The sequence below is a fragment of the Homo sapiens genome, chromosome 5 (genome assembly GCF_000001405.40).
Source record: "Homo sapiens chromosome 5, GRCh38.p14 Primary Assembly".
In the NCBI taxonomy this organism is placed as follows: Eukaryota; Metazoa; Chordata; class Mammalia; order Primates; family Hominidae; genus Homo; species Homo sapiens.
This window is the reverse complement of record NC_000005.10, coordinates 111251733-111268168: the sequence shown is the minus strand read 5'-3', so window position 1 is coordinate 111268168 and position 16436 is coordinate 111251733. Positions and strand designations below refer to the sequence as shown.

At 38.5% G+C, this 16436-nt stretch overlaps 1 protein-coding gene across 6 annotated transcripts in view, besides 6 other annotated features; it reads right to left on the bottom strand.

Annotated features, from left to right (window-relative positions):
* Positions 1 to 16436, bottom strand: part of CAMK4 (calcium/calmodulin dependent protein kinase IV) — a 271304-nt gene that overhangs the window by 226718 nt on the left and 28150 nt on the right. The gene's annotated exons all lie outside the window — the stretch shown is intronic.
* Positions 12981 to 13030: an enhancer, noted in NCBI's record as "active region_22897". NCBI's record gives its function as "activates an Ori minimal core promoter by ATAC-STARR-seq in GM12878 lymphoblastoid cells {active_cell/tissue: GM12878}" and the evidence as "EXISTENCE:reporter gene assay evidence [ECO:0000049][PMID:35858748]".
* Positions 13191 to 13460: an enhancer, noted in NCBI's record as "active region_22896". NCBI's record gives its function as "activates an Ori minimal core promoter by ATAC-STARR-seq in GM12878 lymphoblastoid cells {active_cell/tissue: GM12878}" and the evidence as "EXISTENCE:reporter gene assay evidence [ECO:0000049][PMID:35858748]".
* Positions 13681 to 13770: an enhancer, noted in NCBI's record as "active region_22895". NCBI's record gives its function as "activates an Ori minimal core promoter by ATAC-STARR-seq in GM12878 lymphoblastoid cells {active_cell/tissue: GM12878}" and the evidence as "EXISTENCE:reporter gene assay evidence [ECO:0000049][PMID:35858748]".
* Positions 14579 to 14668: an enhancer, noted in NCBI's record as "active region_22894". NCBI's record gives its function as "activates an Ori minimal core promoter by ATAC-STARR-seq in GM12878 lymphoblastoid cells {active_cell/tissue: GM12878}" and the evidence as "EXISTENCE:reporter gene assay evidence [ECO:0000049][PMID:35858748]".
* Positions 14809 to 14858: an enhancer, noted in NCBI's record as "active region_22893". NCBI's record gives its function as "activates an Ori minimal core promoter by ATAC-STARR-seq in GM12878 lymphoblastoid cells {active_cell/tissue: GM12878}" and the evidence as "EXISTENCE:reporter gene assay evidence [ECO:0000049][PMID:35858748]".
* Positions 14909 to 14998: an enhancer, noted in NCBI's record as "active region_22892". NCBI's record gives its function as "activates an Ori minimal core promoter by ATAC-STARR-seq in GM12878 lymphoblastoid cells {active_cell/tissue: GM12878}" and the evidence as "EXISTENCE:reporter gene assay evidence [ECO:0000049][PMID:35858748]".

Sequence of the window (16436 nt, the reverse complement as noted above, 5' to 3'; positions counted from 1 at the left end):
CCCAATGGATCTAATGTGTCCATGGATCTACAGTAGTAAAAATAATGAGTAGTAGAGGGCCTACCTCAAGCTTCCACCAGGCAGCTCTTCACAGTGAATACACTGGGCCTAATGATGCCAATCTGCCTGTTGAGTGGAACTCCCAATAGGCTTCTCATGGAAAACACTGACAGCCTCAAGTATAGAGAAAGGCATAGTGAGAAAAAAATCACTTCAACTAATCAGTACCGTTTGCTACCCAGACAAATAAATAATACAGAGTTCTGTAACTTTCCAAATCAATTACACTATGCACACTATATGTTCATCAGCATTCTCACTAATATTTACTGAATCAAAAGCCGTGGTGATCATATTAGTGTTATTAATCTGAGCTATTGTGTTTGTAACGTGGGATATTCTAATTCTATCATCCCCTGTGTCCTTCAGAATGAAGATTCTTTTTTTTTTTTTTTTTTTTTTTTTGAGACGGAGTCTCGTTCTGTCGCCCAGGCGGGAGTGCTGTGGCACGATCTCCGCTCACTGCAAGCTCCGCCTTCCGGGTTCACGCCATTCTCCTGCCTCAGCCTCCCGAGTAGCTGGGACTACAGGCGCCCGCCACTGCGCCCCGCTAATTTTTTGTATTTTTAGTAGAGACGGGGTTTCACCGTGGTCTCGATCTCCTGACCTCGTGATCCGCCCGCCTCGGCCTCCCAAAGTGCTGGGATTACAGGCGTGAGCCACCGCGCCCGGCCCAGAATGAAAATTCTTAATGTAGAAGGAAAACACAGATGTAATACACAAGAAATGAAACAAAAACACATAGTTCTGAATTTAAATTACAAGTATTATTGTTAATATAATATATACATAATAGGAAAGCCTGGAAACAATGACAAATCCTGTCACAGTAAGCACCTCTAGGGCCCAAATTACGATCTTGAAATACCATTTCCAACTAAAAGAAATGAAGACTTTTTGGAGAAATGGCTTATTCCCTATTTAGGGCAGAAAATGTACAGACAACCTCAGAGTATCTTAAAATAGACAACAAGGAAGCTCTCAGAGACTACCAGAATCATATTAATAGGATTCAGGGACCAACCTGAAGAGGCTCCTACTGACCAAAGATGTGGAATGAAGGCAACAGCTGGAAAGTAGGCAGAATTAGAAGAGAAGAGGACCTAGACTCTGGAAAATGTTGATATTTACTGGCCAAGTAGAGACTATACCAGTAGAGAAGAAATCGACTGAGAGGCAAGGGAAAAGAAAACAGAGAGGCTGTTATAGCATAGAAACCAATGGAGAACAGTATCTCAAGGAGGGTGTGGTCATTGACATCAAATATTACTAAGAATTCAAATAAGGTAAGGACTGAAACACAACCAATAGATTTAGCACTTTGGCACCCCTAGCTAGAGCTATGGCATAGGGCCAATCAAAATATTTGAGTGAGATCTATAAACCATATGCCACAGGGCTTAGACATTTTATTTGTATGGCAAAACATCTCCAAAACGAGTATGAGTCAATCTGGGGTATGCATGTCTATACATGTGTTGGTGGGAACAGGTAGGAGTGAAAGAGTTTACAGAGAAAAATGGCCAACTATGTCAATCTATTGAGAAAGACTAATAAATAGCAGGACAGTAATTCATAATAAGGAGACCACTGGTGTCTAAACTCAAGTCTCGCTATTTCAACTGTGCCAGAAATGTGGGCATTTTGAGAATTCATAGATATCTTAAAAATGCTTTTAAATACCTGAGAATAGTAAAATACACCAAAAAGCAAAAAATCTATTCCCCAAAGTGTAGCTTATATAAAGAAAGAATTCATGAATGTGAAAGTGAAAAGGGCTGGGTTGAAGAGGGAAGCAACTGCAGTTCAGAATAAATATAATAAGGGAAATGTTCTCATGGGCAAACGTCTCTCTCTCTCTCTTTCTGTGTGTGTGTGTGTGTGTGTGTGTGTGTGTGTGTGTGTGTGTGTGTGTGAATATATTTATTTAGGAAACCTTCTATTCTACTTTTCAAACCCTTATTCTGTCCTATCTAGGCTGTCATCTCAGAAAAGATTGCTAATTGATTGATCTTCCTGTCTCCAGTTTGCCCTTACACCAATTCATCTACCAAAAGATGTCTAAATTTCTCTCTCTGAAGAAATGCTGTGCTAATGTTGGTCGCAGTAAAACTCCAATGGCTCCCACCACCTACCAAGGAAATTTCAAAGCCCTCCATGACATAGATCCTTTCCAAAACTTTATGCTGATGCTGCAGCTCAACTGGAAAACTCATTTCCTTCCCTTTCCCTTTCTTCTGTATCTCCACATGTCAAGGTCTTGGTGATTATTAAAGCCCAAGAAAAAGTAAATCTTTTAATGAAGCATTTCCTATTCATCTCACTTCTGTGTGACAGCTTCCTTCTCTGGATCCCTCTATTACTCATTCTGCCTCTTTTATAGAATTTTCAAAATACAGCCTTATTTCATGTTTACCAGAATAGAGTTTATCTCATCTACTAAATTTTGCATTCCTTGAAGATTGGGTAAATATCTTACTCTCATGTGCATACCTTATAATGAGCTATAAAAAGCCTTGAATCTGGTACCTGCTGGATAAAGCCTTAATAAAGTGAAAAATAATATATGTAAAATGAGAGAAGCTAAATTTTAGAGGTTCTTAGGGAGTATATATAGAGTACAGTTACAGAACCAAAGAATCCGACTACCCGCGAATATGCTAAAATATCAACTTATCTTGATACTTCAGACAAAAGTTAAATTTAAATCCTAAAAGATGGTTTAGTAGCCAGATGACCAGATAAAGATAATAGCCAGCCAGTAGGCTACATGAAGTATAAAACCACACCACATTCACGTTTGGTTCCCAAGACAATGTTGCATTTCACCTGGCAGATAGTAGGATATCAATAAATAATATTATTTAGTAAATTCATTAATTACTTCACTGAAATACTTATGAAGCATATCAGTGTTTCAGGGGGTGTTTTGGTGCTTGGGTTATAGCAGAGTATATAATAGGCAAGATCCTTGCCTTCATGGGGCTTACATTCTCATGACAATGGGCAAGCAAAACGAATGAACATGATACCTGTAGTTATAATTACCTGAAGTCATCAAAAAAACAAAACTGGAAGGTGGTGATAGAGGGTGTCTCGGAGGAAGGGGACTAACCGTATATTGGATAGTGTGGGGATCCTCATGGATGAGGGGACATTTGTACTGAAAGGTCAACGGCAAGAAAGCCAGTCATGGAAACTTACAGAGGGATCTGACACCATGTCAATCAGCAGATTGCTAGTATCAGCATCAAGCAAACAACATCAGACCTCAGGGAAACAGGGGAATTGCCATGTCCAAAGGGCCAAGACTGCAAAACACCACCTATGCTGCTTGAGTACCTGCCAAAAGAGATCCTGGTTCCATCCTTGGAACCTTGCCATGAAAGAAGAGGGCTCAATCTCTGCAGCCATTTCAACAGAGAAAATGACTCTTAAAGTATCACCAGTGACAAGAGAGGACAGCAAGCTGAAACGGATATCGGCAGTGAATTTTCCTCAGTACTGAATCACATCAATGACTTCAAACACCACATGGACAATAGATTTAGTGCAGTGAATAAGACTCTCAAAGCACTGACAAACGACACTGAATAAAGGCTTAGGGTATCTGATAGGAAATTGGAGAAACTTCAAACCAACATACCCTTCATGCATTCAAGAACCATGCAAGGAGTTCTTTACCTGCTGGGAAGTTTTATGCATCTATGCATCGTTGGGAAACTACTAGGTCCTCCACCAGTTGTTTATACATCAACCACCCAGGCAGCTGACATCACCATCGGCACACCAAACCCCTGGAGCGACTGGTAACCACTGCACATGGAACAGAGCCACTGCTGCACCAAGATAACTGCAAATCACACCAACAAAGCTGACAATCCCCAAGGCACCTGTGCAACACCTGCCACCATCTTGCAGCAGGACCACAGACAACAACACAACTCCACCCACAACTCCCACCAAACCAAGTCAACATCACACCAAACTACATTTAAAAAAGAGAGCCAGTCATTCAAAAATTGGGTAGCAAAACTGTCCACGGAGAGAGAACAATAAGGGCAAATGCCCTAGGAAAGTAGTAAGCTTGGCAGTTTCAAAAGACAGAAAGGACAATGTTCCTGGGAACTCATAAACCAGGGGAAGAATGGGAAGAGGTGAGGTGGCTTTTTTTTTCTATGAGAATGCTTTATTAGGCAAAACCACATACTATGAAAGTGCTTTAAAATGCAACAGGAGGAGACGTGAAGACACAAAGAAAAAGTACATAGTGACACGTGGCTATCAGAATACACTAAGTACAGAATCCACACTGCTTCCGCCCTTTACAGAGTCTAGAGCCTATTTTGGGGGTTTTGAGAGCCACAGTTAAGAGTTTGGAATTTATTCTGAGCATACTGGAAAGCTATGGGAGGGTTATACAGCTATCAATCAGAACAATTTGGACTGGTTTACATTTTTTAAAGTTTATATTAAAAATGGATTATAGCAGGATGTCCAATAAAGAGATTATTTCAATAGGCCATTTGAGATGTAGGGTGTTGAACTGGATTAGGGTAGAGATGAAATGGACATGGCAATGATGATAAGGTTTGGAAGAAGTAGACTGCTGTGGGAGTAATAACAGAAAAGAAATGGAGTTGTGAAGAAATCTGGAAATAAAAGTAGAGAAGTAAATAACAGTATTTCCCAAAGAGCTCAAATTATTTATTGTCCCTTAACAGCCTTCACTGGCCACTCAGTCAGAGCCCTGACCCAATTCCTATCTTTCCTTCATTTTCCTCATTCCATCCAACTTTACCATTAACAATAATTATGATGTATATAACATAAAAGTTCCAGTACTGCCTGAAGATCACCAGCTGTATTTATGAAATATATTTCACATAATAGGTATGGAAAACTGATGAAACACCTTTCCACAGAGTGAAAAAAGGAAAATCACCTGACATAGTCAAGATTTATCATTGAAAGTGTTCCCTTTAGAAAAATGGGGACATGAACTATGATCTCTTTTCGCTGTCTTACTACTTCCTTTCTCTTCAGCTATCTGCCCTCTGGCTTAGTATGATTCACTTATATTAGAAACAACTCAGCCAGGGGGTTAAATTATCACTTTATATGTTGCCAAAAGACTCACTCTAAGGGATACTTCTATGACAAAGAGAAAGCAATGATACAAACCAATCAAACCAAAGTATCTGTCTGTGTGATAAATACATTCACCTTTAATAAATAGTAAGTCAGAAGAAAGAAAAGTAGTAATTGCAAAGCATTTATTTTGAAGTGTATTTCCGTTTTTGTTCAAAAGGACAGAACCTGGGAGACAAATTGTTCACAATTTTAGCATATTATTACAATCTATGTATAAATTTCCTTAATAATAACAACTGCCCTATTGCATAACCGATTTCATTGTTATTGATGGAATATAAAAAGCCACATGAAAGCAAGTAAAGTGGGTCATTATTTACTTTTTAGTTTATATTTATGCATCTGGAAAAGATGGCCATAAAATCCCCCTCAGATTGATTCAACTTTAGACAGGCTTCTTCCTAAGGCCTCTGACCTCCTTTTTAAAATGTGTTTCCTTTAGAAAACTTTCCATTATAAATTCTTGCTCTGCTACTTTAAGACATAAATATTCTACAACCCAGGAATGTCTTTCTCAAGAACCTGGGAGCCATCCCTTTTGACATGTAATCAAGAAAGATAGTACCCTCTCAGCCTCTGTAGGAGAGTGGGAGCCTAACTTCAATAAGCACCAGTGGCCCAATCATGTTGATCAGCCCTCCACTAACATCCTCCCGCAATTTTCCACCAGCTCACCCCAGTGCTTAGAAACTCCTCCCCCTTTGGTTTAGTGGAGTTGAGTTCAATCCTTCTCCTCTATTGCAATTTTCTTGAATGTCTTTTTTTTTTTTTTTTGCCCGTTTAGCTAGTCTAGTGCAATTTTTCTTTTACACATCAAGTGCCAGAATGAGGACCTTAAACTGTGTCTCTACTGCCTGTGAAGGTATGTCAGCAGAGTGAGGGGCTCAGAAACCCATGTAAGGTGCTAGTGAACGAACACAAGGATGACTCTGCAGACCTAAGACCTCAAAAGTATTAAACTCTCAAAGATAAGGACTTCTCCTTAATATCCCAGGCTGTGTACCCCAAAGAAAAGAGAAGGCTTGCTGCACAAGTTTTGCCTCTGGACAATGGCTAAGCATGTAAAGAGGAAAAAAAAATACTTTTAAGAAGATCATAGTCCCCAGATTGGCACATATCCCAGCCCCAGAGAGCCTAAACTGGTTCACAAGGGGAGAGAAGCAGTAAGGAACAGTGAGTCATAGGCAGGGCCCCATACCTGAAGGGGTAAGAGGCAAATTCTGCTTGTAATCAATGCATAAGTCATTAGAGAATACAACAGAAGTAGGGATGGAGGGCATTCTCTCCAACTTTTGCATGATAAACGTGACACTAAAATTTTTAAAAAGATGGCTCTTTTCCAACTTTGGAAGCAGAAAAAGTCATTGTGGTGACCTGGAAAAAAAAAAAAAAACTATTAGGGTCAGAGAAGGAAACTATAAGGATATTGAGGTGAGGAAACTGAAGATAATTATTGCTATGGTTGTTTGTGATTACATGAGGCTATCCTCGAAACCTCAGAGATCCGGAAGGGAAATACCTAGAGGAAGGAGTAGAGCCCAGCTGCTATAGGGTGACAGCTATATTCCTAGACTGGTGCAGCTGGGTAATGTGTGCTACGCTTAGCAAACAATAACTAGTGCATATTATGCACCAGACATTGTGCTAAGTGTTAGAGCTACAAAGATGGAAGACGACAGAGGCTCTCAACATCCTAATGGGGTCCAATATTGTGGAAATAATGTAATGTTATCAATGGTAATAGGAGTATGGAAAGTACTGTGGAAAAAAGGCAATAACTGAGTTTGGGAATAATCAGGGAAATCTTCACTGTGTATGACATCCAAATTGTGTCTTTAAGGATAAAGTGGTTGGACAAGATATGAGAAAGGGCATTCTAGGAATAAAGACAATCTATTTTAGGATGGGGGCCTCAAAAATTAAGGTGACTGTTGGAATGGCAGCCTATTTACATATTTTGAAAGGTAGGGTGAGAGCAGATTGTAAACTGTCTTAAGAACTATGACTGAGACAACCAGATTTTAATTATAAAGGTAATTTTGAGGATAAAAGATAATCAATGAGGAGGATGAATGTTAAGGAGATGAAATTAGGGACCAGGACACATATTAGGTTATTCCAGAAATAATATAACTGAGAAAGGTTGACGGTTTCAATGAAGATAGCAGCAGTAGGGGTATAGATAAGGTGCAGGATCTGAGGAATCTTTAATGGTTAGGAAATAAGGGAGTAAACTGGAAGATAAGGAACGAACAAAACCTAATAAAAGATTGAGGCTACCTCCTTGAGAGACTGGAAGTGTAAGAAAAGACAGGAAGAGAGGCAGTGTTTCTGGAGGAGGATAAAATATTCAGATTCAAAAATCAGGCCTACAGCTCAGAAGAAAGCTAGGGACTGCAGATGCATATTTAAGACAAGAACACTGGGTTATAACTGAAAATATAGGAAGACAAGAGACAAGAGGCTGAGGGGAGAGCCTTGGAGAAAGCCCACACCTAGCCAGCAGGTGAAGAAAGAGAAACCAGTGAAGAAGGCAGAGGAGGATCAATGAGGTATGCAGGAGATTTTACCAGCGGACATGGTGTAGGTGGGGCCAAAGGAATGAATTTCAGAAGGTTTGTATAATGAAGACTATGAAATGCCAGAAAGATATTGACTAATGTAAGGACTGAAAATGTTTCTGTTGAATTTGGCCAATATTCAACAGTAAGGAGATCTTACTGTTAGCAGCTTTAGTGACCTGATGAGACAGAATCAAGATTGACCCAGACAGTCAAGACAATGAGAGATCAGGATGGGGGAACACAAGTGAACAGACATGACCTTCAGGAATGTGAATCATCAAGGGAACAAGAGAAACATTTATTTTGTCTTTCAAAATTCTTTTCGGCTATTATTTATGACATTAAAAGAATTTATAGAACTTACCAAAGAATTTATTGTACAAGTGTATTTAATCGATATGTTCTTAAGAAATGCTTTATAAATTACTTTCTGCTTGATTCTTCTAAAGCGTTCAGAAACACTCGATGTCACTTTTGATTGATCTTCAACTGGCATTTTTCCTAACACATATGTTTTATATTTTTCTGCTCCCAGAACCTGTCAGGTTGTTAATGATCTATAAAAATCCACTTTCACACCCTACAGGAATTCACTCTTAAATGAGTCACAGGAAATCATTTGTTAATATGAAGGGTCCTTTTGTAATACTTTTAATTAGTTTTATACAGGGGAACTTTTTGTAAGTCACATTTTCTTAATTCAAACCAGAACATGTAGGAGATACCACATATAAGTTTGGCATTTTTTCAAAGGACACCAATGACTTGGAGCAATAAATGTGGGGTCACCGTTATTGCCTGGATAAAAGAATTCAGGGTGCTGCATATATACCTACAACCCATCCTCCAAAGACAGTAAATTCCTGATCATTTCCAATGAGCTGTTGGAAACTTGCCCAAATCCTTTGCTTTCGTATTTTTTCCGTGAATATCATGAGTTCAGTGCAAATATCTTTCAGGGAACTTGGGTTAAAATCATTTCTTCTTCTCTATACTTCAAATCAAATTACACTGAGAAAACTATTGTTTTTTATCATTGCTACAACTTTTCTCTGACTGCTCTCAGTTTTATTGAAAATTCATTTTCCATTTATTTAGAGACTCTTAAGTTGTCAGTAGTTAAATATTAAATTCTATGGCAAAAGCCAAGGTATGGGAGTGAGAGATACAGAGATTAACATTAAATGTATTTACCCTCCAAGAAGCATATATTCTGTATGTTTAGGGAAGATAAAGAAAACAAACTCTGCCTCTTTTTATGGGTTCTTGCTCTATGACTATGTGTCCTTTTATTTCATTGGGAGAAGGGTGAGAGTAGAATTGGAAAAGGTACAAATAGCATAATCCCAAAATGAGTTACCACTTGACAAATTAGCATAAATCTCTTTCTTCCCTGGATTTGGGGCTGACAGTTTTACATAAATTTCATACCGTATGTTGAGATTTACTTCCTTAAGGGTTTTTCCTAGGTTCTCTTTGACATACATAGATTGAGTTGTTTACTTTTCTTAGCTAAATTAGAGACCCGTATCTTTTTGGATTTTTCTTAAGTGTTAAACAGAAAGTAAACAAGTTCATATAACACAAGACCAACAAGGCTAAGACTGCACACACACACACACACACACACACACACACACACACACACACGCTGATAACTCTGTAGAGGTAATGGTGATATGATTTGGCTGTGTCCCCACCCAAATCTCAACTTGAATTGTATCTCCCAGAATTCCCATGTGTTGTGGGAGGGACCTGGGCAGGGGGTTGGTAACTGAATCATGGGGGCTGGTCTTTCCTGTGCTATTCTCATGATAGTGAATCAGTCTCACGAGATCTGATGGGCTTATCAGGGATTTCTGCCTTTGCTTCTTCCTCATTTTTCTCTTGCCACTGCCAGGTAAGAAGGGCCTTTCACCTCCCACCATGATTCTGAGGCCTCCCCAGCCATGTGGAACTGTAAATCCAATTAAACTTCTTTTTTGTTCCCAGTTTTGGGTGTGTCTTTATCAGCAGTGTGAAAACAAACTAATACAAATAGGTATGTTAGTCAGCCTGAATGCGGTATTTTCTGAAGTATACATATATCAAAACATCAAGCTGTACATCTTAAATATATCTTATATAATTTTTACATCAATGATATCTCATTAAATCTGTTAAAAAAAGACATTCAGACTAGGTACTATTGGAATGTCCAATAAAGCCATGTCTATTTTTAAGTTCCAGGATTTTAAGTTCCATACACTGCAGAGTGTGTGGGTTTGTTACATAGGTAAACATGTACCATGGTGGTTTGCTGCACCTATCAGCTTATCACCTAGGTGTTAAGCCTGCATGCATTAACTATTTATCCTGATACTCTCCCTCCCCCGACACCCTCCCCGTGCTAGGCCCCAGTGTGTGTTGTTCCCCTGAGATGGTATCTCATTGTCCATGTGTTCTCAATGTTCAGCTCCCACATGAGTGAGAACGTGCAGTGTTTGGTTTTTCTGTTTCTGTGTTAGTTTGCTTAGGATAATGGCTTCCAGGTCCATCCATGTCCTGCGAAGGACATGATCTTGTTCCTTTTTATGGCTGCATAGTATTCCTTGGTATATATGTACCACATTTTCTTTAGCCAGTCTATCACTGATGGGCATCTGGGTTGATTCCATGTCTTTGCTACTGTGAATAGTGCTGCAATGAATATACGTGTGCATGTATCTTTCTAACAGAATGATTTATATTCCTTTGGGTATATATCCAGTAATGGGATTTCTGAGTCTAATGGTATTTCTGGTTGCAGGTCTTTGAGGAATTGCCACACTGTCTTCCACAATGGTTGAACCAATTTACATTCCCACCAACAGTGTAAAAGCATTCCTATTTCTCCACAGCCTCACCAGCATCTGTTGTTTCTTGACTTTTTAATAACTGTCATTCTGACTGGTGTGAGATGATATCTCAATGTGGTCTTGAACTGCATTTATCTAATGATCAGTGATATTGAGCTTTTTAAAATATGTTTGTCACCACTAAATGTCTTCTTTTCAGAAGTGTCTGTTCATGTCCTTCGCCCACTTTTTAATGGGGTTGTTTTTTTCTTGTAAATTTGTTTAAGTTCCTTGTACATTGTGGATATTAGACCTTTGTCAGGTGGATAGATGGTAAAAATTTTCTTCCATTCTGTAGGTTGTCTGTTCACTCTGATAACAGATTCTTTTGCTGTGTAGAAGATCTTTAGTTTAATTAGATCCCATTTGTCAATCTTTGCTTTTGTTGCAACTGCTTTTGATGTTTTTGTCATGAAATCTTTGCCCATGCCTATGTCCTGAATAGTATCACCTAGATTTTCTTCTAGGGTTTTTACAGTTTTGGGTTTTACATTTAAGTCTTTAATCCATCTTGAGTTAATTTTTGTATAAGGTGTAAAGAAAAGATCCAGTTTCAATTTTCTGCTTAAAAGCCATGTCTATTTTTTTAACGGATTTGTCTGAAGGACTGCTGGAATGTTGCTGGCATGACTCTTACTGTCCAAAGTGGTAAACTTTCAAAATACAGAAGACCAAAGATACTGTTGTGAGCAATGAATATCACTTTACAAGTGTGCCCATGGTAGTTAATACATTTTCAAAAATAATAAGCTGCTGCCAAGATTAGAAGCTATAAACAGCTTTAAAAAAAGACTTGGGCTGCCACATTATTCTGGTACTTATGTGTGAATACTATATGTCTTTTCTAGCTCTGAGAGTCAATTACTGCATTTATTACCGATATTGATTGGTAAGAAAAGGCTCATTTTTATTAGGGCTCTCTAAAACTATTGGCCCATTTCAAATAAAATATTTTGAAATAATTCTAGATTCACAAGAAGTCTCAAAACTAGTATAAAGAAGTCCTACATGCCCTTCACTCAGTTCCCCCAAAGGTTATATTTTACATAATCATAGTAATATTAAAACCAGGAAACTGACATTTGTGCAATGTGTGTGTGTAACTCTATGCCATTTTCTCACATGTTGATTAATCTGACCACCAACACAACCAAGATACAAAACTATTACATCCCCACAATAGTATCACTCATGTTCCTCTTTGTGATCACACCCAATTCCACCCCACCATAGCACCACCATACCTAATCCCTGGCAACGACTAATTTGTTCTCTACCTCTATAATTTGGTCATTTTGAAAGTGTTATATAAGCAGAATCACACCTTTTGAGATTGGCTTTTTTCACTAACATATGGCCCTTGAGTCCATCCAAGTTATTTCATGTACCAATCATTTTTTGCTTTTTATTACTGAGTAGCAGCCATGGTATGGATGTAAGACAGGATCATTTTTGTGAGATATCCAGTTGAATTCTGTGATCGATTAGTCTATATCAAAATACATACAGCTATATATATGTGTGTGTGTATGCATTCTAAATATAAGGAAACTGACCTTGGGGAAATGTTTTTAATCTTTACATCATTAGCCTTAAAAACAGTTAATTTCCAATAACACTATTGATTCAACCCATTACTCACATATCCAAAAATACACTGGGAGAAGTTGGCATTTTAAGCGGTATAAAACAGTGGTGAGCAGGAAATGGGCATTTAATTAGAACATCATCAGAGACTCCAAATAGCCATAAAATGATGATACAATGAATCCATAAATGCAAAGCTTCTGAGACTACAAAGACAAATAATGGAGGCTTTGCAAGAATGGTCTGGGGCTTCGGGTATGCAAACACACAATTCAGCTGCTGTTTCCATTCCCGAGACAGGCTCAGCTAAGGTTGTGACAAAATCATGACTCTAAAAGTCAGCAATAAAGATCTTAGGGAACTTTAGATCATGGCTTTTTTAAAGCTTCACTGAATTTACACAAACTCTGACCTAGCTGAAGTTGTCAGCAAAGATAAACAGTTCGGTAAACTCTACAAAGAAATGTACAGAAAAATCAGAAAATCAGCCTACTACACACAAAAATAAACTTGCTGGGCATGAATCCAAGAAAACCCACTCAGATTATCATAAAGATCACTGAAAACACTTTCTGTTTGTAAGGAGAAATATAATTGCTTGATACTTGGGAAGAGTTTTTCCATTCATAGCTCACCAAAGTGAGCAGATCCAATGGAAGTGATGATGGCACAGGATGGGCAGACCAAAGTTATTTATAAGGCTCAGGAACCAGGGCTTCATGGCCATCAACAGTAGTTCAGACAACATGCAACTACAAAATTAGACCTTCAAACAATGTCCATCAGAAATGTACTTCAATTACACCAGGGAATTTTGATACACAGCCCAGTTTAAACACCACATAAAACCATTCTTTTTTTTTTTTAAGTACTAAGTAAAAGTTGGACAAAGTATAGCTTTAGGAGTACTGGGATTTTGTTGGGTTCTTTTTTCATCAATGAGCTCACTGTGATGCTACTGCCATGAGGTGCTTCACATTTCCCCCCAGCATCTGATGTGGGCCTCATCACAGTATTTGCACAGACTACAGAAACAGCTCCTCCAAACCACAAAAGTCCCCAGGGAAATCCCGAGAACCTGACTGCAGTACCCTTTTTACCCAATGATCCACACATACTTGGCTAGTTTCATTTTTATCACCATCACTCACAGAAAGGCAGGTGCCTAATGATGTAGAGCGGTGTGCATGATGCATTGATGGGGGATTAGCAGAAACAACTCCTTCGCCTGGGGGAGCTGGCAATCAGGTGGAAATGTACATACTCAGGAGTAGATGGGATGTGCAGGAAGATTTCTGTGAATGCTGAGAGAAACTGACCCCTTGGTTCTTCAGTTTCCTTCTCAATATGTTAATTTCTTCACATTCTGCATGAACATCATCTCTGACACACTTTAAAACTTGTATTTTGATATTAATATTAGTTTCTGGCATTACAGAGTGTGAAGGCATTAAATGAGGTTAGCAGGTCTGTTCCCTGTGTTTTACAAGGGTGTCAACCCTCTCCACCTCCAGGAAGGGATTCTGTGCAGACATCTGGGATCATCTCACAGCGCACACTGCCATGGCCACGTGGCAGCAATCTCTGCCAGCCTCCCAGAGGGTCTTGTCCACAGTGACTTCCCTTTGGGTGTCAGTGCCCCCTACCCTAAATTCATTTCCTGTCAGTTTCTGTCTTTGTAACAAACTTATAGACATTAATGAAGCAGGAGCAGAGCTGGTTATACCCTAGAAGGCAGAACAAAGGCCCTTGCCCTCAAGTTCCAAAACAGACCTTTTAAGAGTAAAATTTGAGTCACTTCCACATCCATGTGCGGGAATAATCAAGACAATGATAATTTATTCTGAGCTTCTATTTTTCATAAACCAGATTCAATATTCAGATCTTAAACTATGGTAGTTTTACCAGAGTTTTATTTCTGCACACAAAAAGATTTCTGAAATGCTTTTTCCAGGTGAAAAGAAAATGCTTATATATAACATTACAGATAATTTATAATTTAAATAATTGAAATTTATTTGGGAATGGTTTAAATAGTGAGTTGACTTGTCATTATGTAACCAAATGAAGCTGATAATGACAGTCTTATCTCAGATGAAGAAATATCCATGTGCATATATGAATATCAAATTAGAAAATTAAAATGGAAATTTTTGTCTCACTTACTATTGAAAAATGAAAGAAAAGCCTGTATATAATATACTCAATAACCTCTCAGTAGCTAATCTTTTCTGTTTTTCACAAAATGGAATAAAGTCAACATCATAAAATTGTAGCTAAGCATTTTAGCAAATGCACCATGTACATTTGTTCATTTCTGTTCTCTTCAAAAAATTGTCTTTCATTTTTCTCAACATGGAAGCTGTCAGCTATTTTGATATGGCATGGTGCTTCTCTTTCTGCTTCTTTTTAAATGAAAAGTAAGAAACAGAACATAAAACAGTATTGGAGTTCCCCAGGTGACATGACTGAGAAAACCAAATGCTGACCATCTGTTGCAGCAGAACAGCCCAACCCTGTCCGGAACTGGAAATGTCTCTCCTCCCAGGTTCCGGGGCAAGCAGGGCAGCCGGCACCTGCTGCTGGCTTGAGAGGTCTGCCTAGAAAAGCACCATCAGCACACAGCTCTGAGTCTTCTCCATGGGCAGCTGCCAGAACCCGAAGGTCCTTTTAGAGGAAGATGAAAGGCAAAAATGATGGGACAGGAAAGGTGCACTAAATTACCATCCATGCAGACATTTGTCAAATTAACCCACCTCCACATCAAAAACTAAGCCATTACCAATGAGAACATAAATGTGTGTATGTACATGTGTCTGTGTTGCTCCAGTTATTTAATCAGCGGAAGCCAAGTAACCTACAAGAAACAAGTTCTCTGTAGATAAGAAAGCAAGTTTGACAAAAATAAGAAAGCAAAGACAAATGCAAACATGACTGACAGCCTGAGCCCTCTATCTCTTTCTGCATTGTCCATGCACAGCTGTCATCAATAGAAGTAGCATCACTTGCTATTGCTAAGTATTTGTCAGATTGGTGAAAATCTGTAGACTACTAGAATTATTTTTCTAGTCTATACAATGCTGTTTTCACCCCTACCAAAAACTGTCATTAATTACAGACACATTCCTTATCTAGCCCTTATTTTGAAAATCTGTAGGATCACGGATAAAATAATTTCTCCAGGAAAAATGTAGTGAGTCACAAATAATAGAGTCAAAGTTTTTCTTACAAGTTCTTTTGGTTAACATTACATTATGATTAACTTGTTTTGTAGTATTATTATTACTATGTTAGTTACCAGCTTACTGCTAAGAATATCATTGTAGAGTTCTTAAACTGAGTATTACGTGTAAGTCCTTTTGGGACCTATAAGACTCATAGGATATTTTTTACACTAACTCTACCAGCAACCACAAGTTCCCCAAAAGTATGTTTAAATTTAAAGGTGGTTAGGAGAAAGGATCTATAGAAAATATGTAAGAAAATGCTGGTCATATCATAAAAGCCCAAGGAAGAATGCAGTTTTCTTTGTGTTCCTCCACACTTCTCCATACTAAACAAAAATGTATAAGAAGGTACTCACCCCATGGTTTATGGTTATGCCATCCTATTTACAGCAAGAGCCCTGTATCTCTAGGCACGGATGATACTACAGCAGCCAACAATCAGAGTCCCCACTCAAGTCAGCTGAAGAAGCCAAGACAAGTGACTCTGACGAGGTTTAAAATACTTCTCCAACTAGATCCATTCTTGGAAAGTGTATGACGACAGACTTAGGGGTAATTCCCAGAGCTGCCATGAATACGACAGTGTCTTGGCACCCTGTAACTATGACTATGCCTTGGCATCCCATAACTCTGCCCTAGCCCAGATGCTTTCTGTTATGCTAACACGACTCCAGAAGTAACACAAGCATAAAGAAAATGTACAGAGACGCACAAGTGTGGACTCATAATTATTTTCTGCCTTCTTCCACCAAATCTATCTGAGTTCATTAGTAGCAATAAGATATAAACACTGGTTAAAAAAAAAAGTCAGTGAACCCCAAACACAATACCACAAAGTCACATACACATAACATTACGTGAGATGGAAAAACATGGATTTCCTCAATGTACCTTGTGTACCAGGAAACCTTCATTAGTGAATACATATTGAACTTTCCCTGCCATCACAGCTCTGTATCACATTCTCA